Source organism: Homo sapiens, chromosome 3 (assembly GCF_000001405.40).
Source record: "Homo sapiens chromosome 3, GRCh38.p14 Primary Assembly".
NCBI lineage: Eukaryota > Metazoa > Chordata > Mammalia > Primates > Hominidae > Homo > Homo sapiens.
In genome coordinates this window covers 71,760,294-71,787,095 of record NC_000003.12, presented here as the reverse complement: position 1 = coordinate 71,787,095, position 26,802 = coordinate 71,760,294, and the positions used below count along the sequence as shown (strand labels likewise).

At 40.9% G+C, this 26,802-nt stretch overlaps 1 protein-coding gene and 1 long non-coding RNA gene across 4 annotated transcripts; one reads left to right on the top strand and one right to left on the bottom strand.

The window, feature by feature from the left end:
• Positions 669-1,706, bottom strand: LOC105377156 (uncharacterized). 2 transcript variants are annotated; one of them, NR_199160.1, is made up of 4 exons: positions 1,573-1,706; positions 1,243-1,460; positions 1,063-1,159; positions 669-879 (listed from the first exon to the last, which is right to left on the bottom strand). It is a non-coding gene; the product is annotated as an uncharacterized LOC105377156 (long non-coding RNA). The 2 variants fall into 2 exon arrangements; NR_199161.1 differs by having other exon boundaries at positions 1,349-1,460.
• On the top strand, positions 1,948-15,441 carry PROK2 (prokineticin 2). Of its 2 annotated transcripts, NM_001126128.2 has the most exons (4): positions 1,948-2,139; positions 5,504-5,629; positions 12,589-12,651; positions 14,268-15,441. In NM_001126128.2, the coding sequence occupies exons 1-4, from the start codon at positions 2,044-2,046 to the stop codon at positions 14,370-14,372; spliced, it is 390 nt and encodes a 129-aa protein (NP_001119600.1). In that variant the 5' UTR covers positions 1,948-2,043; the 3' UTR covers positions 14,373-15,441. The 2 variants fall into 2 exon arrangements, with proteins under 2 accessions (NP_001119600.1, NP_068754.1); NM_021935.4 differs by lacking the exon at positions 12,589-12,651.

Genomic DNA, 26,802 nt, shown 5'->3' with positions numbered 1-26,802 from the left:
TCTCTCCTAAAGCATTAAAGCAATTAAAATTTCCAAAAGAACATGAAACTAAACAACCCTATTTTTAAGTGTTTCCAAACTTATTTCTTTTTTTTAAACTTGTTTCAAAACAGCCTTATGAGGACTGTTTTCCAAACAGCTGTGTAAGAAGCCAGCCACTTTTGAAATCTGATTTTTCCTGTGTAGACATATCATATTTTCTATGCTTGAAGAAGCAGGGAATACCCAAGCTGGCATTCAATAGTAGCGAATATGAAATAGACCATTAAAAGAAAGTCATAGGAATGTTAAAATCCATGTTGACTGGTTTTTACATTTACCCGGCAGCATTCCCGAGCTAGCGTTGGCATGGAGACTGGAAAAGGAAACTTTCCACAAGTCTGTCACTTGCTACTGTTTCTACTTACTCCACTGTGAGTCCAATTTTAACATTTTTTTAAGTTGAAAAAAGGGTTTGACTCCTTTTGTGTTTTCTGTTCAAGGCGTTTTTTAAACATGAGAACACGTGTGAAAAAGGTTTTTAAAAATCAGCCAAAGATTGGGGTTTCCAAATATTCAGCTGTTTAACATTCAGATAATTGCCTGCCTTCCCCCCGCTATCCCCCACATTTCGTCTGAATGCTTTGGCACGGGGGAGCCCCACAGTCTGAAAGTAACTCTGTCCCAACTCTCCTTACTGCATTTATTAAAGAGGCTGAAAGACGCATCTGCTTTTCAATAGTTTGCGGTTCTTAAGAGACCAGGAAAGCCAGAGGTTCTGACTATTCAGGAAGAAAGTTGGGTTTCCCAAAACGGGCAAGCAAGTTCGGTGTGGTCACATCTAGGTATTCTTGACGTCATTTTTGTTGAGGGAAACAGGCTGCAGTTTTTGGAGCCAGGCTAGGATGAGAGATGGAGGGCAAATCTGTCACTTATTCTTTCCTGGTGTGCCTGGAACCCACTAGACACTCAATTCATGTTTACGTGAATGAAGGAATCACAATAACGCCCTATCGCATCTGTAAAACCGAAGGGTGATTTTCCTGGGCTGGAAAGTTTAAGAAAGAAGAGAGAGCTGCGTACCTAGGGCTTAAGGGGCCTCAGGCTGGCACTCGAAACCAGGCGTTCTCATTTCCCTTTGGCATCACCCTGAACGGCTGTGCCTGGAGCTGGCGCGGGGCTGAAGAGGGGAGGAAATACATGTGAGGAAAATCAGAGGAGAGGGTCGGGAACAGATGTGGGCATAAAGGGAAGGCCTCTGACTTGAAATAAACAAATAGGAGTCCCGCAGCTGGAAGGACAAATCCTTTCACGTCGCGGGTGATGTGGGATTGGGGCGATTTTGCTCTCCCTTTGTTCTTTCCCCTGCCTTCCACGTTTCCAGGGTATTTGATTGATGTCTGTCTTCTCTGTTAAGTTATTCCACCGTGAGGAGAGAGCCGGTGGCAGTACCTGGCACGCAGCGGGCGCCCAGTATAGACCTGCTGAACAAACGAATGGATTCAGGGGCTGCTGTGTCCCCCTCACCCACCCCCCGCCCCCTATGTGTCCACAGCGCCCCGCACGTAGTAGGCGACCCCTAAACATCTGTACAGCAAATGATTTGCAAGTTTTCGGCGCTGAGCACGTGGAGCTTTGGAAACCAGGACAGCAAATGAGTGTCTCGGAGACCACAAAAGCGGTTCCGGCGCGTGCGAAAGGCGGTGGCTGGGCGACGGCGGAGGGAACGGCGCAGAGCGGGGCGCCCCGCCGGGAGCGCTGCCTGCGTGGCGCCCGAGGCGGGGGCGCGGGGGGCCGCGCATAGCACGTGCTCGTCTGGGAGCCGGCCGGGCCGAGGCGGGCGCGCGTGTGCGCGTGGGGCGTGGGGTGTGTGCCCGCGCCGTGCCCCCCGCGTGTGCTGCCGGGCGGGCGCCGGCGTGAGTCACGGCGGGGCTAGCCTTTATAACGGCCCGGAGGCTCGCGGGAGCCGCCGCGCCCGTCCGCCCGCCGCTCCGCGCTCCACCCAGCGCACCCGGGCCCCGCGCCCCCAACTGCCTCCGGCGGCCGCCCAGTCCCGAGGGCGCCATGAGGAGCCTGTGCTGCGCCCCACTCCTGCTCCTCTTGCTGCTGCCGCCGCTGCTGCTCACGCCCCGCGCTGGGGACGCCGCCGTGATCACCGGGGTAAGCGGCCCGGGCGCACCTGTCTGCCCCTGATGCGCGCCTGGGATGTGCCCAGGGGGCTTGGGACGGGGACCCTGAAGGGCAGGCTAGAGGCAAAGGGAGGGTCGCCCTGGGCGGGGACACCTGCCCCTGTCGCCCCTTGGTGCACTTGGGAAAATACCCAGATCCAAAAGCAGCAGACGGCTGGGGACACTGGGCGCGTCCTGGAAGAAACAGTGACAAGGATGTCGCCCACCACCTTTATTACCACCTTCTCCCGCTTACTTCTCCCTCATCACCCACGGCCTCACTCCTCGCATTTTTCTTCTGTTAGGCTGAAAGAAGTTTCTCTCTGAGTCTTCTCAAGTACTTTTGGAGGCTCTCCAACCTCGAACCTTAAAATTTGACGGCCCCTTCCTGAAATGCAAAGGACCAAGACGAATTCCCCAAGTGCCCAGAGTCTTAATCCTACAGTCAAAGAGTTTGCTCCCCGATGCGTCCTCCGCAGAAACCCTTTGAAATCGCTTGGTCCAGGGCCATGTGAGCGCTTTGAAAAGCAATTGTGGGAGCTTCCTTCTGGGTTCCGGGGCTTTCCCCCGCGCTCAGGGTCTTGAGGTATCCCCATAAAAGTTTTAAATTTCTAATTCCTGGCAAAGCACCTCCAGTGCTCCAGCATAATGATGGAGTAGGTTGCTGTGTAGATGTTTAAACTTAGAGACGATGTTTTCATCTTTTCTGTAAGTAGGAACTAGTTCAGTTCTCTCCCACTCTCAACAATTTTGTGTGGATCTGAAAAAATTGGGTTTGCAGTACAATACTAAATAGTCTAGTTTACATTAACAAGGCAAAACTGCTATCATTTCCTGGTTGTTCAACTTCTTTACTGTTTTTTAAGTGAGGAATTATTTCACACCTTCATTAAATTACTTCAAATATTTAAGTGCACATAATGGGATTTAAATAAAACGTCTATGTTTGAAATGTTGATACATAGATAATATCATTTGACTTTAAAGGAAGTATCTTTGTCTTGAAAAAATCAAGCTCTATTTTCTCTATATTAGTTATTAGGTTTATAGAATTTTGAAAGTCCTTTTGCTATGACAGCATTTGTATATATCCAACAGATATTTAACTGTAAGCTCTGTGATATTTATTAGAAAAGAGATTTTTTCAAAAAATTACTTGCATAGCTTTGCCAGTCCATGTGGTTGAGAAAAACTTTTTGCAGGTCTTTCTAATACATGAGAATTGAAACATGATTGGATTTTTTTCTCCCTCTTCTCCTGCTGGCTCATTTAAAGTTTCTCCTAATCCTCTGAGCCCAAGATCCCTTTGCAATATAAGTATCTTTTTGTTCCATTCACAGGACAACACTATCTGAATAGATTTGCAATGGGTTAAGGATGAAGGGCATTAGGAAACAGCTGTCTAATTAAAAATATATAAACCTATGCAACTCTTTGTAAATTTTCCAAGAACTGAAGCTTTTGTTACAAAATAAAATTTTATCACATTGGCTGTCTATCTGTTAGAGAGGCTTAGACTGGGCTTATTATATAGTTATGTGTGCTGTTTTTGTTGTTGTTATTTTAACTCAGTGTTACAAAAAGAGAATTTTAAAAATGTCTCTAAAGCAACAGGGCAATAAAATGTAGTTATGTCTCCATGACAGGAACCATCTGGATTCAAATGAAAAACTCAGTAACTTATCAAGATACATTGTGTATAGCATGTTAAACATCCAGGTGATTGAATTTTAAAAGATTTTGGCTGGATTTTTGATTGGTTCATAAAAAAAAGCTCATGGGGCCTCAAAATTCGAGGTATTGAGCATCTGTTGAAATAAAATGCTGGCTAAAACTTTCACCTGACATCCACAGTTTTTTGGGTAGTGTATGTAGGTATTTTGAAATTGATTTATATGCCCACATAGATTTGTTAAAACTATATTGTAAAAGATCATTGACTAGACATCTTATTTATGGGATGTAATGGCTACATATACATGATTTCTGGCATGCAGATAAAAATTGGAAAATTGAAACATTTACATATTGTCCTATAAAATCCAAACACCTCAAGGTGAAATTTTTAGCTTTTATCCAGATACTTTGTTTAAATAGACTGAGAAATAAATTCTAATGAGGGAAGTAAATGAACTTTAAAGCAAAATAGTTGGTTACTTTTAATGAGAAATAATGTTAAGAATGTACCCATATTTTTATATCTTGAGAAGTTATGACTGTCCTCAAAACTAAGAATTTTGAAGGACTGTTTTAGTTGTTTCCACTAATTGTACATTTAAATTTGTGCCTAGATGATAGAGGTTTTAGTTTCTTACATATATAGTACAGGATGTTTTTATCTTATCACTACCAAAACAGATTACTGCCCACGGTTCAAACAAAGCATTCTATTTTTTGTTGGTTCTAGGAAAGAATAATAGTTCTTCAGATCCATTTTCATGCAAATAGATTTAGATTTTATTATTTATTTCTATTTACTAGAGTATGGAAATTCCTCCATAGTTGATTGTTTCATTGTATGTATTTACAACTTTTATATTGAAAGCAGGTGACTTGAGTAATTACTATTGACAATTGCACCTGTTACTTGCATTTCTTAATTTGATGGATCTTACAGGATTGTTAGCTGATTTTGTAATGTACATATATGTTTATGCTAAGCCAGTAATTTGCTCTTTGCAGCTTATTCACCTGAAGGAAGAGTAACATAAGGCAAGCATCTTGGTCTGTCCACTTTCAAACTATGAGACTTCTTTAAAGAGAAAATGGTGAAAAAGCAAGTCAGTGGTGTGAGAAACGTCAAGTCTCTTGAACCAAAATGCAAATATTTGAAGGGGAAAATGAGCACTTCTGAAATTTACATCAGTGCCTTTATGGGTCTGGAGTGTTTCATGCCAGATTTAGAGACTATTTAAATCTCTTTTTTTAAATTGGCCCCAGTGTATTCTGCAGTTAATAGTCACAAAATCTTGTGATTCCATTTATGTAGTTCCTAATGGCCATGTGTAGTATAAGAGTAATATAGTCTTGTTCTTCAAGTTCAAAGCCAATTCAGCCATAAAGCACTGGAAAAAGAGAGCTGATTTCATTTAAAAAAAAATCTTATGTTTATTTAAGATTTTCATAATCCAGGGGCTAGAATTTAGCCCACTTTCGAAAAATGAGAAATAGCTATTCTGATCAGATTTTATAATAGCTATATACAAGTAAATGAAGGTTATCATTTAAAAAATATACCTGATTATTAAAGTCCAAGTGTTTAGATATTTAAAGGGCATTTCACTGCTAATTTTAGGTTTCCTTAGCCTGAGTCTTTCCTGTTATCTATATTTATCTGTTTGTTTATTACATTTCAGGCTTGTGACAAGGACTCCCAATGTGGTGGAGGCATGTGCTGTGCTGTCAGTATCTGGGTCAAGAGCATAAGGATTTGCACACCTATGGGCAAACTGGGAGACAGCTGCCATCCACTGACTCGTAAAGTTAGTATATATATATTTGTATTCATGGTGGTTCTACTGTGGTAACTCTGAGCAGGGTCTGTATGACATGAAGGACTGGGTAACGTGCTCGACAAACAAAATGAATATTGGACATTAGCAAGGATAACAGTGTAAAACTACCCCCTCTCCTCTCCCCTTTCATTTCAAAGAATTGTATCCTCTGTCTTTCTTATTCCAGTGATAGTTTTCATGTTACTGCTCTCATGGTGTTAGAAGCATTTTACCAATATAATTTGCAACACATGAATTTGCTTAAAAGTTATTTAGAACAAAAATATATATTATACTCTAGTATGCATCTTTGCAGAAATCTGAGTATAGAAGTTCTTAAAAAGACTGCTTTTAATATTAGATCTACTGATAAGGCAGAAGTAAGGAAGCTCTGTGTTTTGGGATTTTTTAGAAAATCGATTATACAATTACTCTTGTATGTTAGTTTAAATATTCTATATTTTGACTCTACCTACAGGACACATTTTTCAAAATTTTAGAGATCGATGATATTTAATTTTCCAATTTGCTTTATTATCTGTCAGCTCAATATCACAGTGACCTAAATAACACTTTTGAAAAGTTATTAACAGTAGTGGCATGATCATAGGGTGGCAGGATTGGACAGGGTTTGAGAGATTGTATCTCCAAGGGTTGCAGACCCACCTGTCTACAGGGGTCAGGAAGGTTTATATTACATGAGGAAGCGGGTGGGTGGGAGGCAGAAGGCATGTGGAGCTGGAGGTTCTTGGCCTTCTGGTTGAAAACCTTTGAAACACAGTGTGGTCTCAACAGAGCACCCCAGGAATGCCAGGTTGCATTGCCTTCCTCTGGTCCCACCTCCGCATTTTTCCCATTGGTAAAGTGCCTCCAGTGGCGTTGCAACAAGTCCTAGGGCAGGTGGTTTTCGAGAGGCAGAGCTCAGTCTCTTTAGAATGTTCTTTCTACACATTGTATACTTTCTTTTAGATACAAGTAGAATGTTATCAGAGCAAACCAAATTCCATTTTCTGTCTTATTTTTTCACATGTGATTTAGGGTTTAAAAATGTAACACAGCCAAACATCATTCCCATACTCCACAGTCCCAGAGAACAGTTAATATTTTCACCTCCTCGGAGTGAACAGAATGAAATAAATTGTGGCCCCTTGGCCCAGGTTTAACTCTGCAAGCTATAATGTGGATTCCAGTTGTTTTGGGCCTATCTAAAGACTGAATTTGCTTTTGGCTTTCCTGTGGTTGCCTTGTGAAATGCTTCCTGTTACATTTAAACCATCCCTCCTGTGGTTTTACCATGCAAGACTGCAATGTCATTTAAAAACATGACATGCATTGTTTTTTCTTGGACAGAAGAGGTTTAAACCGTTACTTGTGTGTCTCAATGCCAAACTTCCCTAGAAGAGGGGCCGCTGGCCCAGCTGCCTTTAGCATTTCTCTCGTTATTTTCAACACCCTTATTGAATTATGAGTTATCTTTTGTACACTTAAGTCATTGTCTCTGAAACATTTACTCTTAACTTTCTCCTTTAAGAATTACGTTGTTTTTGGCTGGGCATAGTGGCTCACACTGTAATCCCAGCAATTTGGGAGTCTGAGGCAGGCAGTTTGCTTGAGCCCAGGAATTTGAGACCAGCCTGGGCAACATAGTGAGACCCCGTCTCTATAGAAAAATTTTTAAAAATTAGCTGGGCATGGTGGCACACACCTGTAGTCCTAATTACCAGGAAGGCTGAGGTGGGGGAGGGGATCAGTAGAATCCAGGAGTTTCAGGCTGCAGTGAGCGTGATCTTGCCACTATACTCCAGCCTGGGTGACAGAGCAAGACTCTGTCTGGAAAAAGAAAAATTGTGTTGTTTTCATGCAGTATTAGTACAGCTTCACATGCCCTAGATGCTAGAATCACATAGCCTGTTTACTGAAACAAGGGAAAAGTGACATATCCCATGGAACTATGTTTGTGTTAATAACAATCATAATTGCACCTTGTTAAATACTGTGATGTACCAGATCCTCTATATTAAATGTTGTATATGTACTTCTTACTTAATACAGCAAGCCTGTATACAACATTAAGCCCCAGAGGGGTTCAGCAACACAGGCTGTGAGTAAACAAGAGACACTCAACTTCATTCTTTGTGACACTCTGTTGTTTATGTGGTCTTAATCATTACACGCTTCTGCCTCCGCGAAAGCAGTCGTTGGGTTTAATTTGAACACTTTGTAGTCCAATTAACCAAAACTGGTTTGTTTGGATAACAGAGACAAAATGATCACTGGAATGAGTGATAACAGTTCAGAATGGGAATTTGTGTCGTCCGATAGTTTTGATGAGTGTTCCAATCCTCTGCAATATTTAAAAGAGAACCGAATTCTATTTCCCTAGTTCCTAGATAACTTCAATTTCAGGTTTAGTCCAAGATTAATTTTGAAAGTAAACAAATGCAGTCTTCTTGCATAAGCCTGGCTACATCTCTTTGGTTCTGTTTTTATCATGGATCCAATAATGAAATCTTTAAATAATAGAGTATGGTTTTCAGATGTTCACTTGAAATGTATTTCTGGAATTTTATTTTCTAACTTTTCATATTGGTTGCTTTTTTATCTTCAAATACATTTTCAAAGGTTATTTTGATGACCTATTTTAAGAGAAGATCCTAGAGTTGTACTTGTTCCAGATGAAATTTACCTATTGTAGAAAAAGATCTAGTTTCTTCCAGAATATCTCTCAGCTGTATGGTCTGTTCAAAACAACTCAAGAAAAAAGTCTTTCCTCAATACATACTGATGAACATTATGTACAGTATTCAATTATGCTCTGAAGTTTAATGACTCATTAGTAGATAGTAAAAATGTAGACCCTATATAGAATTTTTTTTTTCATTTTGTTTCAGCTTAGTCATTAGCCACCGAAAATCCGTTTATTTGGGTCAAGTGAACAGTATTTGATGACTGAAACTGAGAACCATAGATAGGAGTTTATAGCTACCGAGTTCAGTTTGCTGTTTTATTTAACATGTACCAATTAACTTGTACAGTTTACAGTCCCTGACAGGCTATTGTTTTATAATTGTATAGTTTTGAACTTTATGTTTGATAATTTTAAGATAGAATAAAATATGTGAGATATATGAGTTCACCTAGGAAGCATAGTATGCATATTTTCTAAATACATTTTAAAGCAAATAATAGTTTTAACAGGTATTCATTTTTCTCAAATTTTTTATTTTATTTTATTTTATTTTATTTATTTATTTTTTTGAGACAGAGTCTCGCTTTGTCACCCAGGCTGGAGTGCAGTGGTGTGATCTCGGCTCACTGCAAGCTCCGCCTCCCGGGTTCACGCCATTCTCCTGCCTCAGCCTCTCAAGTAGCTGGGACTACAGGCGCCCACAACCACGCCCGGCTAATGTTTTTGGTATTTTTCGTAGAGACGGGGTTTCACCTTGTTAGCCAGGATGGTCTTGATCTCCTGACCTCGTGATCTGCCTGCCTCGGCCTCCCAAAGTGTTGGGATTACAGGCACATTTTTCACAATTTTTTAACACTTAAGAATGACTTAACTGAATCATGCCTTTAGAAGAAACTTTCTGTTTAAAAAAAAAAAAAGACAAAACAACAAGGTTTCTATTAATGCCGGTAACTTTCCAAAGTTTACATAGAAGATTAGCCATTTCCTTCCCATTTTGACTAATGTTTAGCTTTGAAAGCTTTGAACACTTTTTAGTATTCAATAATTATGTGATTAATACTTTAATCTTTATTGCTTATTGTATTCTGAATTTTTTCAGTTTAAACAACTATGTTTCCTTCAAACAATCTTGTTTTTAAATTTTCCTGCGCTTTTTATGTGAACATTTTTAGCACCAGGTTTTTTTAAAAACTTCACTTTCCTTCCTTTTCTGAAGGAAAAAAATTCAAATAAAAACCTGGTACTTGTTTTATTTTTTTAACTTGATATTTAAAAAATTATTAGTGGTTTCTACTTTAGAACCAACCTATGAGGAAACATTGTAAACATAATTTCAGAATATGAAGTCATTAAAATTTTTACATATTTTTTAAAGTAAAAAAATTTTAAAATACTAAAATATAACTAATGCAACTAGAAATTTAGCAAAAGATGGGGAAGAAAGCATAATATGCTGATTTTCTCATCTTTCCTATCACAATGTCAAGAGCTACTGTCTATGATTATTTCTTGGGATAGCATCATAGCAGTGTTTATAGGTTCAGTTCAGCAAAAAGACTTACAAGACAGAAATAGGCTTTAGTCTAATACAGGTTTCTCAACTTTGGTACTATATGCGCTTTGCCCAGTTTCTCCCAATGGTGACATCTTGCAAAACTATAGTACAATATTCCAAGCAGGATATTGACGTTGATACAGTTAAGACACAAAACATTTCCATCACTATAAGGATCCCTCATGTTGCCCTTTTATAAGTGCTAATTTCTCTTTAAAAGTGCTGCAAAAGAGTAAAAGTCATGCTTTCTCAAAGTGCTGGATGTTCTGCCTCGGTAACTTCTAGAATTTGCTGTTTGGAATTCTAGGCTATTGGAAACTTTGCATTAAGTGTTGGTTGATTCTAAAGTAAACCATGAAGTTTGGACTAAGTGGTTCCAGTGTGCATCTTCTGTAAGCACTTTCTCTTGCATTTGTGATTATGAGACGCCTGTTAGCTTTGTCACACAGTATCTGTAGATCTAGAAGTGAGTGGGCCAGTCAAGAAACGGACAAGCATCTACCGAGTGTATAATATCAGAAATCATGGTTTTTGGCCAGGCACAGTGACTCACGTCTGTAATCCCAACACTTTGGGAGGCCAAGATGGGCAGATCACTCGAGGCCAGGAGTTCAAGACCAGCCTGGGCAACATGGCAAAACCCTGTCTCGACTAAAAATACAAAAATTAGCTGGGCATGGTGGCACATGCCTGTAGTCCCAGCTACGTGGAAGGCTGAGGTGGGAGCATCACTTGAACCTGGGAGGCTGAGGCTACAGTGAGCTGAGATCATGCCATTGCACTCCAGTCTGGGCACAACAACAGAGCAAGACTCTGTCTCAAAAAAAAAAAAAAAAAAAAAAAAAATGAAAAGCGAAAAGAAAAAAAGAAAAGAAGAGAGAAAAGAAAGAGAAAAGGAATCATGGTTTTTGTCGTTAGGAGCTCACAGAACTGAGTGAACTGGGTTTGAATGAGAAAAAAGCACCTAAGTATTAAGGACCCTGCAGTTCAGTGTAATCATTATGTTAGGGTCAGTCAAGGCAGATCCAGATTGATGTTCATACAGTCTTGGTGTCCTTGATTTAAAGAAATAATACAAAGATTTTTTTTAAGTTTCACAAAAACAGATGACCTTGTGAACACACTACCAGGGTCCCTCCTAGGTCCTGGATTAGAGGCCTATACATGAGAGGGGCTTCGGCCTCTTGGGCTTCATGGTGAGTCCATCTCTGAGTTTGGTGGTGTGAGTTACGTTTTGCCTGCTCGGAGCTGGGCAGGGCAGTGAGGGGAGCCTTGGGATCTGAGTTGGTCATCTTCTGCCCTTCGGGGAGTTCCTAGACTCTGTGGGGCATTGCAGGGCATTTGATTGGCACATAGCAAATATCTCCTGAGTGTTTTCTGTGTACCAGGCTAAGAGCTATATGCTCATGAGTAAAATGGATATGGTCCCCCCTTTAGAGAGTCTGGAGTCTGGGCTTGGTGGTGTTTGAGAAGAGAGCAAAATCTGGAAGAAAGCAGGACCCTGTTTGACTATGAGCACTTTCCCCTCCTAGCTGAGTAACCTCAGTCCAGGACCTTTGCTTCACCTCAAAAGGAAGCCACTTACCTCTATCTCAGACAAAGCAAAAATCTGGTGCTGAGGTTTGGGATGACATTCATACATGATGCCTTCTGAGACCTGACCCATGGCGCACAATCCATGTGATTTTTCTTTTCTGCTGGGCCCAAGGTACTGCCCACCCCATGTGACAGGCCAGAGAATGATCATAGTGTCATGATGCAGAAAGCACAAGGCTGTGAGCACCAGCAGCTGAAACAATTTTACTGGTGTTCTGTCTTGTATGATCAAGAGGGAAGCTCCACGATGCACAGCCTCACCTGTGTTGCTCATCATTGTATGCTCGGCACTTAAGATAGGGCCTGGTATGTAGGTAGCACTCAGTATCTGTTGAATGAGTGAATGAAAGAAACATATTTGGTGATCTCTGTTTGTAACAGTTTAACATGCTCATTATAGGTGTATTTCACTGACACACTTCAGGCTCCTTTTACTTGGATATTGCTATCTGTGTTTGTTTTTCTCAACCTCAGCACTATTGATGTCTTGGGCCAGATAATTCTTTGTCGTAGGGGTTGTCCTGTGCATTGTAAAATGTTTAGCAGCATCCTTGGCCTCTACCCACTAGACGCCTAGAGCATCCCCCTCCCTGCCCTTAGTTGTGACAAATGAAGACATTTGCAGACATTGCCAAATGTCCCCTGGGGACACAATCGTCCCTAGTGGAGAATCACTGGCCCATGCAGCAGTTTTAGGCTTGGCAGAAAGGAAACTTATGGTCTCAGGGTCAGAATGGGCTATAAAGGTCGTTGATGATCACTTCTCATGCTATCCACTTATAACTGTCTAAGCCAGTCTAGCTGTACTCACCTCCTCTGATGTGTTCTTGGTGGCAGCAAAAGAGCCGGCTCTCAGTGTTCCCTTTGACACACAGTGACAGAACCATTCTGAGCACAAGTCTCTATTAATCCAGTGGTGAACATGACTGCATGTAGATGCTGTCATTAGAACCTGGGAAGTCATGACATAGCAAAAGGACAGAGGAACTGGGATGGCTTGGCTGTATCTTGCTCCGCCAGTTCACTACATGCATACCCTGCCCTCCCATTGCCTCTTTTTCTTCCCTTTGTATTTATTGATCTCAATCGTCTCCCTGGCCCTTCCAGAACAATTTTGGAAATGGAAGGCAGGAAAGAAGAAAGAGGAAGAGAAGCAAAAGGAAAAAGGAGGTAAGAAGAATGCGAATGTGGTACCACCGAAAGACATGCCCAGAAGAATTAGCCTTTACATTGTTGGACTACCATAGAGTTGGGTCTGTCCTATCAGTTCAGCCCCAACATAAGATTAGAATGGTTCTGCCACTATCTGTAGACAGCTTTGATAATCTGTATTGATATCTATATGATATATACAAAGAAATTTATCTGGAAGGCATCTAAAAGATGCATTTCAGATTTTCTCATAAGGACAGATCATTGATGTGGGGTGGCCTCTTTTGGTGGAACAGAATAAGAAATACACTAGAATGATGTTGAATTTGAGTTTGGAAGCAGGAAGAACACATCCTCTGCCATGCTTAAACTCTGGAAACATCTCTGAGACATGAGTCTGTAGTCACTCGTCTCACTCACTTTAGCCTGAGTCAGAGTCACTTGCCATCTGATTTCACAGACGCTCCAGGCCTGGGATTAAACTTTCTCCGTATAACTTGTAAGACAGGCAGATTCTCAGGAAGGTGCTATTGCTTAGGGGAGGGAAAATAACATTTGCTATCTTTATTCTAGAAAGCATACATATTTGGTGTGTATACCATTTGCCACTGGCACAGACAACCACCATGCTCGCTGTCGGTTGACCCTCCTCAACCCAGCTTGGCTGGTGAAATGGGCTGGGCTCTTAGAGTGACTCTCGAATGAAGCAGACCTTTCACTGCTACTCAATTTCCATTTATGCAAATTGAGCTTGCCTTCTTCTCTGATTTTCCTCTGTTCCTTTTAAAGTTTTTTCCCAGCATTTTGACTCCTGGCATCTGTGTGCAAATGTATGAATTAATATATTGCTCATTGATGGTGAGTTTATATTTGCTGATTGCATAGACATGGTCATGCCCATGATACCAGGTTCAAGCTCAAGGAGCTTCAATGATAGGATACCATAAAAAGAAATAAATGAGAAAAAGTAAAAGGCCGTACAGCTTGAGGACTAAAAGCTTGGTCTCTCGGGCCCACTCACTGCTAGCCAAGCTTCAAGTTTTACATAAGTGACCTTGGCCAATATACCAGTCTCTCTTTGCCTCATTCTCTCATCGGTAAAATGGGTACAATTAAAGTGCTTGCCATCTTTACAAGGTGTTTGTAAGAATGGGAAAGGATAACATATAAAAAGTACTGAGCAGGCCGGGTATGGTAACTCACATATGTAATCCCAGCAGTTTGAGAGGCTGAGGCAGGCAGATCGCTTGAGGTTGGTAGTTCGAGACCCGCCTGGCCAACAAGGTGAAACCCTGTTTCTACTAAAACTGCAAAAGTTAGTTGGGCGTGGTGGCATGCACCTGTAGTCCCAGCTACTCGGGAGCCCGAGGCAGAAGAATCGCTTGAACACGGGAGGTGGAGGTTGCAGTGAGCCAAAATTGTGCCACTGCACTCCAGCCTGGACGACAGAGCAAGACTCTGTCTCAAAAACAGTAAATAATAAATAAATAAAAAGTACTGAGCATATTGCCTAATGGGTAGTTAACGCTCAGTAAACACTAGTTATTGTTATTTAAAGAGCTATCTCAAGAATGATTTGGTTTGTTTGTTTTTGAAACCTTTCCAGCTCTGACTCCGTTTTCTTTTTTATTTAGGTTCCATTTTTTGGGCGGAGGATGCATCACACTTGCCCATGTCTGCCAGGCTTGGCCTGTTTACGGACTTCATTTAACCGATTTATTTGTTTAGCCCAAAAGTAATCGCTCTGGAGTAGAAACCAAATGTGAATAGCCACATCTTACCTGTAAAGTCTTACTTGTGATTGTGCCAAACAAAAAATGTGCCAGAAAGAAATGCTCTTGCTTCCTCAACTTTCCAAGTAACATTTTTATCTTTGATTTGTAAATGATTTTTTTTTTTTTTTATCGAAAGAGAATTTTACTTTTGGATAGAAATATGAAGTGTAAGGCATTATGGAACTGGTTCTTATTTCCCTGTTTGTGTTTTGGTTTGATTTGGCTTTTTTCTTAAATGTCAAAAACGTACCCATTTTCACAAAAATGAGGAAAATAAGAATTTGATATTTTGTTAGAAAAACTTTTTTTTTTTTTTCTCACCACCCCAAGCCCCATTTGTGCCCTGCCACACAAATACACCTACAGCTTTTGGTCCCTTGCCTCTTCCACCTCAAAGAATTTCAAGGCTCTTACCTTACTTTATTTTTGTCCATTTCTCTTCCCTCCTCTTGCATTTTAAAGTGGAGGGTTTGTCTCTTTGAGTTTGATGGCAGAATCACTGATGGGAATCCAGCTTTTTGCTGGCATTTAAATAGTGAAAAGAGTGTATATGTGAACTTGACACTCCAAACTCCTGTCATGGCACGGAAGCTAGGAGTGCTGCTGGACCCTTCCTAAACCTGTCACTCAAGAGGACTTCAGCTCTGCTGTTGGGCTGGTGTGTGGACAGAAGGAATGGAAAGCCAAATTAATTTAGTCCAGATTTCTAGGTTTGGGTTTTTCTAAAAATAAAAGATTACATTTACTTCTTTTACTTTTTATAAAGTTTTTTTTCCTTAGTCTCCTACTTAGAGATATTCTAGAAAATGTCACTTGAAGAGGAAGTATTTATTTTAATCTGGCACAACACTAATTACCATTTTTAAAGCAGTATTAAGTTGTAATTTAAACCTTGTTTGTAACTGAAAGGTCGATTGTAATGGATTGCCGTTTGTACCTGTATCAGTATTGCTGTGTAAAAATTCTGTATCAGAATAATAACAGTACTGTATATCATTTGATTTATTTTAATATTATATCCTTATTTTTGTCACGGTTGTTGTCAGTTTTTATTATAAGCAAATTTCTAAATAGGCTACGTCCCAACATGGATAAAGACCCCAAGGTTGGTAAAATAGCCCCAAAGATATGTGCATTTTCATTTTACATACAGCAGAGTTGTGTTTGCATGGATTTTAAGGTAGTTCAAAAAATAAACGATGCATAAATCAGTGAGGTTTTGGAGTGTGAAGGAAAATGATGCTGTGCAAAACTGATTGTAATCAGGAATGGACTGATGGGGCTTAAGTGTATTGACTTGGCAAAGAGTGATGGGAGTGTGTGTCGCGAGTGGTTAGGCAGGGTGCTAGGTGCTACCACACAGTGATGCCAATGTAGGCTGGCCTCAAAAACCCACCAAGTATTGTAAATGGTTTCAACGTCGCAAATAAACAACTTATGAAATGTGTTCAACTGACTAAACTTGCCCATGCCAACCCACCAACCATTTCCAAACACAGAAACTGTCTGTCCATTTTGTAGTTATTGACAGCCAGGGCTTATGATAGCACATTGTATGTAATTTTACCCCTTGAGCTAATGTGTCCCACAAATGTATGGGATTTTGCTGTGCTAATTACCAAACTTGGTCAGAAAAGTATTATTTTTGGTTGTTCAGTTTGTGTTCAAGAAACATTCCTCTGCGAGTTTGCTGAAGAAAATTCAACTTCAATAAGGGGAATTATGAGTAAAGAAATAGGCACTTTGGCAATTTTGTTGTTTGTTTTCATATAATGTTCAAGACTTTCGAGGCTATGTTGGCCAGGGGCGGTGGCTCACACCTGTAATCCCAGCACTTTGGGAGGCCAAGGCAAGAGGATTGTTTGAGCTCAGGAGTTTGAGACCAGCTTGGGCAACATGGAGAAACCCCGTCTCTACCAAAAAAAAAAAAAAAAAAAAGAGAGAAAATAAAAATTAGCTGGGCACAGTGGCATGCACCGTTAGTCCCAGCTACCCTGGAGGCTGAGGTGGGAGGATCACCTGAGCCTGGGAGGTCAAGGCTGCTGTGAGCCGTGATATTGTGTTACTGCACTCCAGCCTGGTTGATAGAGCAAGACCCTATATATATATATAGAAAGAAAAAAAGGCTATGATGTTTCTTCCAGTTCCTAGGATTGTCTCACACACATGCTGGGACTTCATAGACCAGAATTTCCACAAAGTAAGGCAAGATGAAAATTTACACGAGAAAAACTAAATCCACAGTCTACTTTGAAAATATCATGAATGAATTCCCTTCATTCCAAGGTAGAAAGAAATCTTATGCTAGAAGATGATGCCCAAACCCTACTGGACCTTCGGATTTCTTTGCAAACATTGACTTTCATGAAAACTATCATTTCTGACTTTGTTTTGCCTTTTATCAGAAGCAACATTTTTTTAACCATAGAAAAGTTTATGCCGAAACTATTTCCTATAAACCCTCCTATCTCACTGAGAACCTTTATTCTTCTCAGTATTTCAATGTAGTTCTTTTGTTAGAGCCTTTTATAAAGTCAGTTCAGTGATAGATCAAACACATAGCCCAATTTTCCTCTTCATTGGTTTCAATATTAGAAACCTCATCCCACACTTTTCTAGCTTCATTTTTAGAAGGTTAAAGCTGGGGGCCATTTTAACTTTAAAAACCAGACACTTTTGGTATTCAGTAAGGGTCCCTGTGCAATTCACTAGCAACCTTTTATGGTGTTTCCACCTCCATGTTGCTATGTCTTTCTGATAATATCCTCAGAATTAGTCTCTGATATCTTTCCCAAAGTTGTTAATTCTCACTCCCTTTTGTGTTAAAGAGAACTCAGTTTCTTCCAGCATTTTCACAAATTTTAATTGACAAAAATTGTATTTATTTATGGTATACAACATGATGTTTTGAAATATGGATACATTGTGGAATGCTAAATTGAGCTAATTAATGTATAGACTACCTCACACATCATTATTTTGCAATGAGAACAGTTAATATCTCTTAGTGATTTTCAAGTATACAGTATTAACTGTAGTCACTGTGTTGTATGATATATCTTCGTTCCAGGATTTTTTAATGTATTTCAAAGATGACAGTCTTTAACAACATGATCTTTAAATAAACTTTATTATCCCCCATATATATATATATATATATATATATATATATATATATATATATGCATATGTGTATATATTTTTAGGGTACTTTCAGAGTACACATTTCCCAAAATTAGACATGCAATTATGATGCTGTTCTTGAAGTACAGTTCCCATTTTTTCCATCACCCACCACTCTGAAAAATTTTGATTTGATTTTTATAGGATGAGGCCTAAGTGTTAGGATTTTTTTTAAAGCTCCCTGATTAATTGCAAGGTACATCCATAGTTGAGAGCCACTGAGAACCAATACAGGACTGTGTTCCTATAGAAAGGTTACTGGTACCCAGTGACACTATTTGATGAGACACCTTCCTAGTTGAATTAGAAATGAGGATAGTAGCTGAGTGTCTTTGAATTTCTTACCCTCAAAAGTTCCTGTGGTCCTCAGCACCAGTTCCCTTTCATTCTAGAGGGAAGCACACAGAGGGGTCCCACTGGAGAATTCCCAGCAGCAATTAGCCCATTTGAAGAATTCATGTGAAGTTCCCTAGAATTAGATTAGGGAAGCAGGCCCCAGTCCAACCTGGCTAGCCTCACAGCTCCCTGGGTTTCATGAGTTCTCACATCCTCTAGTGCACCCTCCGGGGTGACCCAGCTTCAAAACTCCCTAGCAGGCACTCCCCTCTCCCAGCCCCTTCCGCATACATCTCAGGATTTCATTCTATTTTGCTGGGTCCATAAATCATCTAAGTGCTTTAGAAAGCCCAATATTGCACCACACTGTAACTGAATAAATCAGAATGGTAAGCATTTCAATAAAATAGATATTTGTCATAAAAGATTAAAAGCAAAAAAGTAGGAAATTGTGGTATAGGCAACACGATGGCTGGCAACAAAATGCAGAGGCTAACGCATATTTAAGCATTCTTGTGCCCCTGTGGAGATTCCCTCATCATAAAGCCTGGAATGCCGACTCATGCAGTTGTGCCAGCTGGGCAAAACGATGGCCTTCTCCATGGAGTGACAACCATGGTGAACAGTTCCAGGCACTCTCACATTACTCCAGAGTTTCTCCATCTCAACGCTAGTGACTTTCTGGGCCACTTTTTTTTTTTTTTTTTTTTTTTTTTTTTTTTTTTTTTGAGACAGAGTTTTGCTCTGTCACCAGGCTGGAATGCAGTGGCATGATCTCTGCTCACTGCGACCTCTGCCTCCTGAGTTCAAGTGGTTCTCCTGCCTCAGCCTCCCGAGTAGCTGGGACTACAGGCGTGCACCACCATGCCCGGCTAATTTTTGTGTTTTTAGTAGAGACAGTGTTTCACCATATTGGCCATGGCTGGTCTTGAACTCCTGGCCTCAAGGGATCTGCCCACCTCAGTCTCCCAAAGTGCTGGGATTACAGGCATGAGCCACTGCTCCTGGCCCTGGGCCACATAATTTATTGTTGTGCAGGACTCTCCTGTGCATTGTAGGATGTTTAGCAGCATGCCTGGCTACTAGTTCCAGTAACACTCCCCAAGTTTCGACAACCAAAAACGTCTCTAGACATTGCCAAGTGTCCTCTGCAGGTTGCAGGTGGGGATAAATTGTCCCCCTTTGAAAACTACTGCTTTAGTCTAAAGCTATTTTGTGTCTGCTTGACTTCACTTGATAATAATATGTTTTTATTTCAGTATAAAAAGTTGAAAAGACAGTATTTAAAAAGTTAAAACCTCCAAATGTGACACTGCAAAATAAGTATCCTAAAAAACAAGCAAAATATTTTGTATCCAAAATAGTGGATGGGGCTGGGCATGCCAGTGGCTCACACCTGTAATCCCAGCACTTTGGGAGGCTGATCACTTGAGGGCAGGAGTTCAAGACCAGCCTGGCCAACATGGCAAAACAGGTAGCTGGGATTACAGGTGTGCTGGTGCATGCCTATAATCCCAGCTGCTGAGGAGGCTGAGGCACAAGAATTGCTTGAACCCAGGAGGTGAAGGTTGCCTTGATCCAAGATCAAGCCACTGCACTCCAGCTTGGGTGACAGAGCAAGACTGTGTCTCAGAAAAAAAAAAAAAGTAGTGGAAGGGTAAAACATTTGATATAATTTACATATTCAATAAAAAAATCAGTTATCTGTCAGCTCTATAGTTTACTGTGTTTCAAGGAAGAAATTTTTATAGTCACTCTTTAAAATAAAGTTTAAGATGAAGGACTCTTTGGGAGGCCGAGGCGGGTGGATCACAAGGTCAGGAGTTCAAGACCAGCCTGGCCAAGATAGTGAAACCCCATCTTTACTAAAAATACAAAAATTAGCCGGGCTTGGTGCTACTCGGGAGGCTGAGGCAGGAGAATTGCTTGAACCCAGGAGGCAAAAGTGGCAGTGAGCAAAGATCGCACCACTGCACTCCAGCCTGGGAGACGGGGTGAGACTCCGTCTCAAAAAAAAAAAAAAAAAAGAAAGAAAAAAGATGCTATATAATTCATCTGATATTCATCTATTCATCTAATTTATGATTGAATTAATAATTAATCTGAGCCCTTCATCTTTTTTTTTTTTTTTTTTTTTTTTTTTTTTTTTTTTTTTGAGGAAATGTGTCTCCCAGCCTTGTCTGGAACTCCTGGGCTCAAGTGATCCTCCCACCTTAGCCTCCCAAAGTGCTGGGATTACAGGTATGAGCCACCACACCCGGCCAACTTCACATCTTTAGAGTATACTTCTAACACATTTCCACACTGTTTAAATCTAAATTTTAATCATCTTGATTAAAATGTGATATAACTAATGGAAAATTGTTTTGCAGAAATGTAAAAGCTTTACAAGCAAAATTGGGGGCAATTGTGCTTTATTAAGTTAAACAGTTGAATAATTGCTGAGAAGTTCACATGTAGTCTTTCCGTGCAAACAAGACTGAGGCTGGCAGGGATGCATTTGGTTCATTCTTAAAAGCAAACAAGCAAATCAACAAAAACTTTGTATTATTGAAATTTTTAAACATAAAAGTAAAGGAGTGTAAAGCAGTCTCATCTATCCATCATTCAGTGTCTCATCAGCATTTATCATCTTGATGCCAAGCGTCTTCTACCTCTACCGCCCCACCTACCTCCACCCCTTCTGTATTGTGTTGAAGTGAATCAATTTTGTCCTTTCTTGACAAGGTCCACTGGTCACTATTTCATATGGAAAAGACAGCCAGCCACATTCTGTATGTTATCAATACATCTTCAGCCTGTACTCTTAAATATTTGCTCTTGAGATATATTTTTGAAATCCAAAATAGGCGTTTGAAATGGAGGAGCAAAATATTTCAGGCCCAGAATGTGTATGTGAATGAACGTTTGCTCCTGTATAGAAATTTAAAAGAAAATATTTTGCGACTCAAAACATAGGAGACTTAGAGAAGTTTATGTCTAACTGTGGTGCTGTGATTGGTTTATAGGAGCTGAATGGTGCCTGAAATTAGTCACATTTGCTTTAAACAGCAAATGTGAATATTCTGTATTAATTTTTTTGAATCTGGTTAGAAGAGGAAAAATTTCTACATGGAAGATATTTAATAAAACTGGTAGACTCTTAATTGTCTTCCACAGTTCTTTTATTCTCACATTTATTCATTACTTCTCATATTCTCTCTCTCTCTCTCTCTGTTTTAGCAGGGTACATGACCACCCATCTAGACATCTAGAGACTGGAGACTGCATTTACCAGCTGCCCAAGTGTGGCCATGTAATGTAAATTCTTAGCGATGAAACGTGAACAGAAGTGATCTGCCACATTTACTTAAAAGAAAACTCCACTTCCTCTCCAATAAGGAGATGCAATAATGAACCTGTCTGCTTTGCAGAGAGTGAAGGCAATTGGGAAAGATAGTAGAGCTGACCCACCAACGTGGGTCCCTGGATAACCTCCAAAAGCAGTCACCTCATATTAGAGAGAGACAATCATGCCACCGTTGTAACTTTGTTAAAGCACTCCCACCTCTACTAACCAAAAAGTGGAATCATTCTCTTCAAAAGTGCATCATGTTTTTTATACTTTATACTTCATTTTGTTATTTTTTATTTATTTATTTATTTTTGAGACGGAGTCTTGTTCTGTTGCCAGGCTGGAGTACAGTGGCGCAATCTCGGCTCACTGCAACCTCTGCCTCCCAGGTTCAAGCGATTCTCCTGCCTCAGCCTCCCAGGTAGCTGGGACTACAGGCACGCACTGCGGTGCCCAGCTAATTTTTGTATTTTTAGTAGAGACGGTGTTTCACCATGTTGGCTAGGATGGTCTCGATCTCTTGACCTCGTGATCCGCCCTCCTCGGCCTTCCAAAGTGCCGAGATTACAGGCATGACCCACCACGCCCAGCCGATTTTGTTATTTATTTATTTATTTTTTTCGAGACAGAGTGTCGCCCTGTCGCCCAGGCTGGAGTGCAGTGGCAGGATCTCGGCTCACTGCAAGCTCCGCCTCCCAGGTTCACGCCATTCTCTTGTCTCAGCCTCCCGAGTAGCTGGGACTACAGGCTCCCGCCAACACGCCCGGCTAATTTTTTGTATTTTTAGTAGAGACGGGGTTTCACCGTGTTAGCCACGATGGTTTCGATCTCCTGACCTCGTGATCCGCCCTCCTCGGCCTCCCAAAGTTCTGAGATTACAGGCGGGACCCACCGCGCCCAGCCCATTTTGTTATGGGTTTTTTTTTGTTTGTTTGTTTTTGTTTTTTTTGTGTGTGTGATGGAGTCTCGCTCTGTTGCCCAGGCTGGAGTGCAGGGCGTGATCTCGGCTCACTGCAAGCTCCACCTCATGGGTTCACGCCATTCTCCTGCCTCAGCCTCCCGAGTAGCTGGGACTACAGGTGCCCGCCACCACACCCAGCGAATTTTTTGTGTTTTTAGTACAGATGAGGTTTCACCGTGTTGGCCAGGATGGTCTCGATCTCTTGACCTAGTGATCCGCCCGCCTCGGCCTCCCAATGTGCTGGGATTACAGGCGTGAGCCACCGCGCCCGGCCTTTATGTTTTAAACATCGTTTTTGTGTTCTTGTTCAGTGGTTGCCATGCAGAGAGTGGGATCAGTCGGCAGGCACACTCACCCATCCAAAACCGGTTTGGATGTTGGGACTGATGGAGGGTGTGACAACACTTATTATTCACATAATGGAATGTTCTGGTGAGAACAGGGCAAGCACAGGTTGGCCCAGGTGGCAAAGGCAAGGCACTGAGGTTGATTTTCAGTTTTGTTGTGACCAGGAAGCAGAGCTGGGCTGAGGGTTCTTACCAGGGTGGGCTAGCTCAGGTGTAGGGCAAAGAGACAAGCAGAGAGAGAGAAAGAGAGAGAGAATGTTGGGGTTTGAGGGCTGTCAGTGTTCCAATGTCAAAATGAAGTTTTCCTCTTAACTATGGTCCCGATACCTTAATGAGAACCTGCTAACTAAATAAAGAATCTTCAAATGAGAAATGATTAAACTTACTTAAAAATGTTGGTCACGAGAGCTTCTAATTCCAAACCCTAAGAAAATGTGTAAATCCATCTTCTTGCAGCCGATGTTTTAATCTCTGAAAGCTGTCACCTTCCCATGGATTAAGACATTTTAGAGATAGGGAAAGTCACTGAGGCCCGTTACAACTGTGAATTTTCTTATGATGCTGAAATGAATTTTAATCTGGCCAAAAGGTACCAGAAAAAAAAAAAAAGACCAAACTTTAAATGACAAATTTAGAGTGAACAAAGCTGCTTTTCAAACTAGCAAAAGCAAATTAATATACAGTTAACAGAAAACTAATTATGTCTTTATATAATTGTGTTTCTTTCAATAGAGGCAGGTCATTAAATGTGTTCCAAAAGTATTAAATTCTAATATATTTATAAAACTTATGAGGTAACTTACAAATTGAGAAAAAAATCCTTCGTTAGACCACGTGTCACTATACTCATAAAGGATTAGAGCAATTATGCAAATTAAGTTCTAGAAATAGCTCTGGGTATCCCATAATTCCTCAAGACAGATATGCAAATTAAACTCATCGTGACTGTGGGTTAAAAGAATTACACACTGTACATTTACGCTCCTTCTGTCACTTTGCAGAATGAGTTCCTGTAAGGGGTTTTTTCCTGTCTCTTCTCTTTCTCCTCTGTGCAGGACATTGCCATACACGTTGGTCAATATTCAGGAAATATATGGAGAATTTATAAGGAATAAAAGGGAAAAATAAATCTGTTAAATTAAAAGAAGAAAAAGTTTCATCTCATGCACTTTAAGCTTAATGATTCCTATAGAATTTTTTTAATAAGACATGTATTAGGTGGCATTGAAATGTAAATACTATTTCAAAGCCCTTCAAAATTAGAATACTTCTGTATCTTCAAGAAAACGAAACCCTTTACTGTTCCCTCCAGGTTCAAACCAAAAAACAATGTAGGCTTCTCAGATATCATTTTCTGGCAGAAAATAAGATTTCCATCCCACAAAGCTGGGCAGATTTGGCAGGCAGATTGGCATAGTTCAGATAATATGCATTTATCAGGGAAATGTTTAAATATACACTTTTCCAACAGTTTACATGCTTTCCACCTAGAGTGGGCTGGCCACTTAAAACTTAATTTATAAATAAGTTATTTCTCCTAGAAGCCAAGTAATGATAGCTTTAATTTATCTGTCTCCTAAATGTAACTGAGAAATACAAATATTGCATTTATGCCTTGGCATTGCAACTTAAAATGTTTTTTTTTCATGATTTCTCTGTGTAATTTGAAATGACTTCAAAACTTCAGGCTTTCACATATAAAATTTGAGCTGTTTATTTATCTTATATTCTCCGACTAGGATACAGAGTTGGTTGGGTACCTACTGAGCCTTTTCCCTGCCCTCTTTTCTCCTAAATGAAAGCACAAAATACCCTTTTCTGTAGTGTAAACCTGCCATTTCCCCCATCCCTCCTTTGGGAGGGTATTGGAGTGGCACTTTTCGGGGCTACCTGTTTGATTTCTATTCAGTTCTGACATTTCTGGTCAACGGCGTCTTTGCTGGCTCTCCTCACAGCATGATTTTATGTAACAAACTTCCTCCAATAAAATGGCCACATTCCTTACTGGCACTTGAACATTTGGATAGAATTGGAAGAAAAACCTTTGAAGAGGGAATTATGTGGTTTTATTTCGCTCAGAGAAATGTATTTTGGAAGATGGATTCCAGAGTGTGGAGAGTGCAGAGGAAGTCAGAAAGAAATGTAAGAACCCAGGAGGAGGGAGAGATGGAAACTGGACAATTTCTGTTTCAGTCTTCGGGTGTTTCTTTTTCCCTCCATTGAGTAACCAGAGATAGAACGCCTAGGGCTCCTTCTGGACAATCAACGATGATGTCTGATCTCTTCAGTATTCCCGAGCTCTTTATCTAGATCCCTCTTTTGGCATCTACCATGTTCTGCCTTGCTTTATGGTTTTGGGTACATTTGCCAAGTTTTCCCAATTAGCCTGCTAACTCTTTTGTTTTCCGAGATGGAGTCTCACTCTGTTACCCAGGCTAGAGTACAGTGGCATGATCACAGCTCACTACAACCTCCACCTCCTGGGCTTAATTGATCCTCCCACGTCAGCCTCCTGAGTAGCTGGGACTACAGGCATGCACCACCATGCCCAACTAATTTTTGTATTTCTAGTAGAGATGGGGTTTTGCCATGCTGGCCAGGTTGTCTCAAACTCCTGGCCTCAAGTGATCTGCCTGCCTCGGCCTCCCAAAGTGCTGGAATTACAGGCATGAGCTGCCGCAACTGCTATCTCTTTAGCAAGAGTGCTGCCCCTTCCTTATCCCTGTGTCCTTCTCCACTGCCCAACACAGAAACTGGCTTCTTATTAGCTTTCAATATCTATTGGTTAGATGGATTTATTCAGGTGGTTTTCCAGATTCCTGTAATTAGATTTATGATATCAAAAAAGTTTGGTCCAGGTATGATGACTCACACCTGTAATCCTAGCACTTTGGGAGATCAAAGCAGGAGGATCACTTGAGGCCAGAAGTTAGCCCAGTCTGGGAAACAGATACACCATCTCTCCAGAAAAATTTTTTTAATTATCCAGGAGTGGTAGCACATGCCTGTGGGCCCAGCTACTCAGGAGGCTGAAGCAGGAGGATCACTTGAGTCCAGGAATTGGAGGCTGCATTGAGCTATGATGGTGCCACTGCACTCTAGCCTCAGAGACAGAGTGAGACCTCGTCTCAAATAAACAAACAAACAAACAAACAAACGAATAAACATGAGTGGATCAAAAAGGTATCATAGACCAGGCATGGTGGCTCATGCCTGTAATTCCAGCACTTTGGGAAGCTGAGGCAGGCAGATCATTTGAGGCCAGGAATTTAAGACAAGCCTGTCTATACTAAAAATACAAAAATTAGCCGGGAGTGGTGGCACACACCTGTAGTCCCAGCAACTTGGGAGGCTGAGGTGGGAGCATCAATTAAGCTCAGTGGGTGGAGCTTGCAGCGAGCCAAGATCATGCCGCTGTACTCTAGCCCGGGCGGCAGAGCAAGACTCTGTCCAAAAAAACAAACAAACAAAAAAAAAGGCCCAGTGCGGTGGCTCACACCTGTAATCCCAGCACTTTGGGAGGCTGTGGCGGGATCACCTGAGGTCAGGAGTTGGAGACCAGCCTGGCCAACATGGTGAAACCGCGTCTCTACTAAAAATACAAAAATTAGCTGGGCATAATGACAGGTGCCTGTAATCCCAGCTACTCGGGAGGCTGAGGCAGGAGAATCGCTTGAACCTGGGAGGCGACGGTTGCAGTGAGCCAAAATCGCACCATTGCATTCCAGCCTGAGCGACAAGAGTGAGACTCCATCTCAAAAAAAAAAAAAAAAAAAAAAGTATCATAAAGTGCAATTAAACAGAACTGACCTAGTAATAGGTATCTTTTTAATCTTCTGGACTTATTTCAGTTTAAGAAATCATGCCAAATATATCTCATTTTTCTAGAACCAGGTTAATTTAACAGCAGCAGGCAGAACAATCAGAGAGTTGAAAAATATTAATAAGCCAAATTTTTAAAAAAATTGTGGATGCAGCTCTAGAATATCAGGCACACCTAGCAAAGGGGTCAAGGAGATGCAGTAGTTTCAAGTATTGTTGCAGTTTCTTGTCACTCCAACTAACAAGCTTCCTGACTACTAATGGCTGAAACAAAAGTAGTTTTAATTTCAAAACCAGAAGTCTAGAGATAGGAGGTTGCTAATCTAATTAAGCAACTCAAGAATGTTAAAATGGGTGCCTGCACTTTTTATCTTTCTGTTCTGCTATCTTCACTGTCTTGACAGTGTCTCC

Coding starts and splice junctions, on each gene's coding strand:
- PROK2 (NM_001126128.2), top strand. CDS start 2,044: ATGAGGAGCCTGTGCTGCGCCCCACTCCTGCTCCTCTTGCTGCTGCCG. Junction 2,140..5,503: donor ACGCCGCCGTGATCACCGGG/GTAAGCGGCCCG, acceptor ATTACATTTCAG/GCTTGTGACAAGGACTCCCA. Junction 5,630..12,588: donor GCCATCCACTGACTCGTAAA/GTTAGTATATAT, acceptor TGGCCCTTCCAG/AACAATTTTGGAAATGGAAG.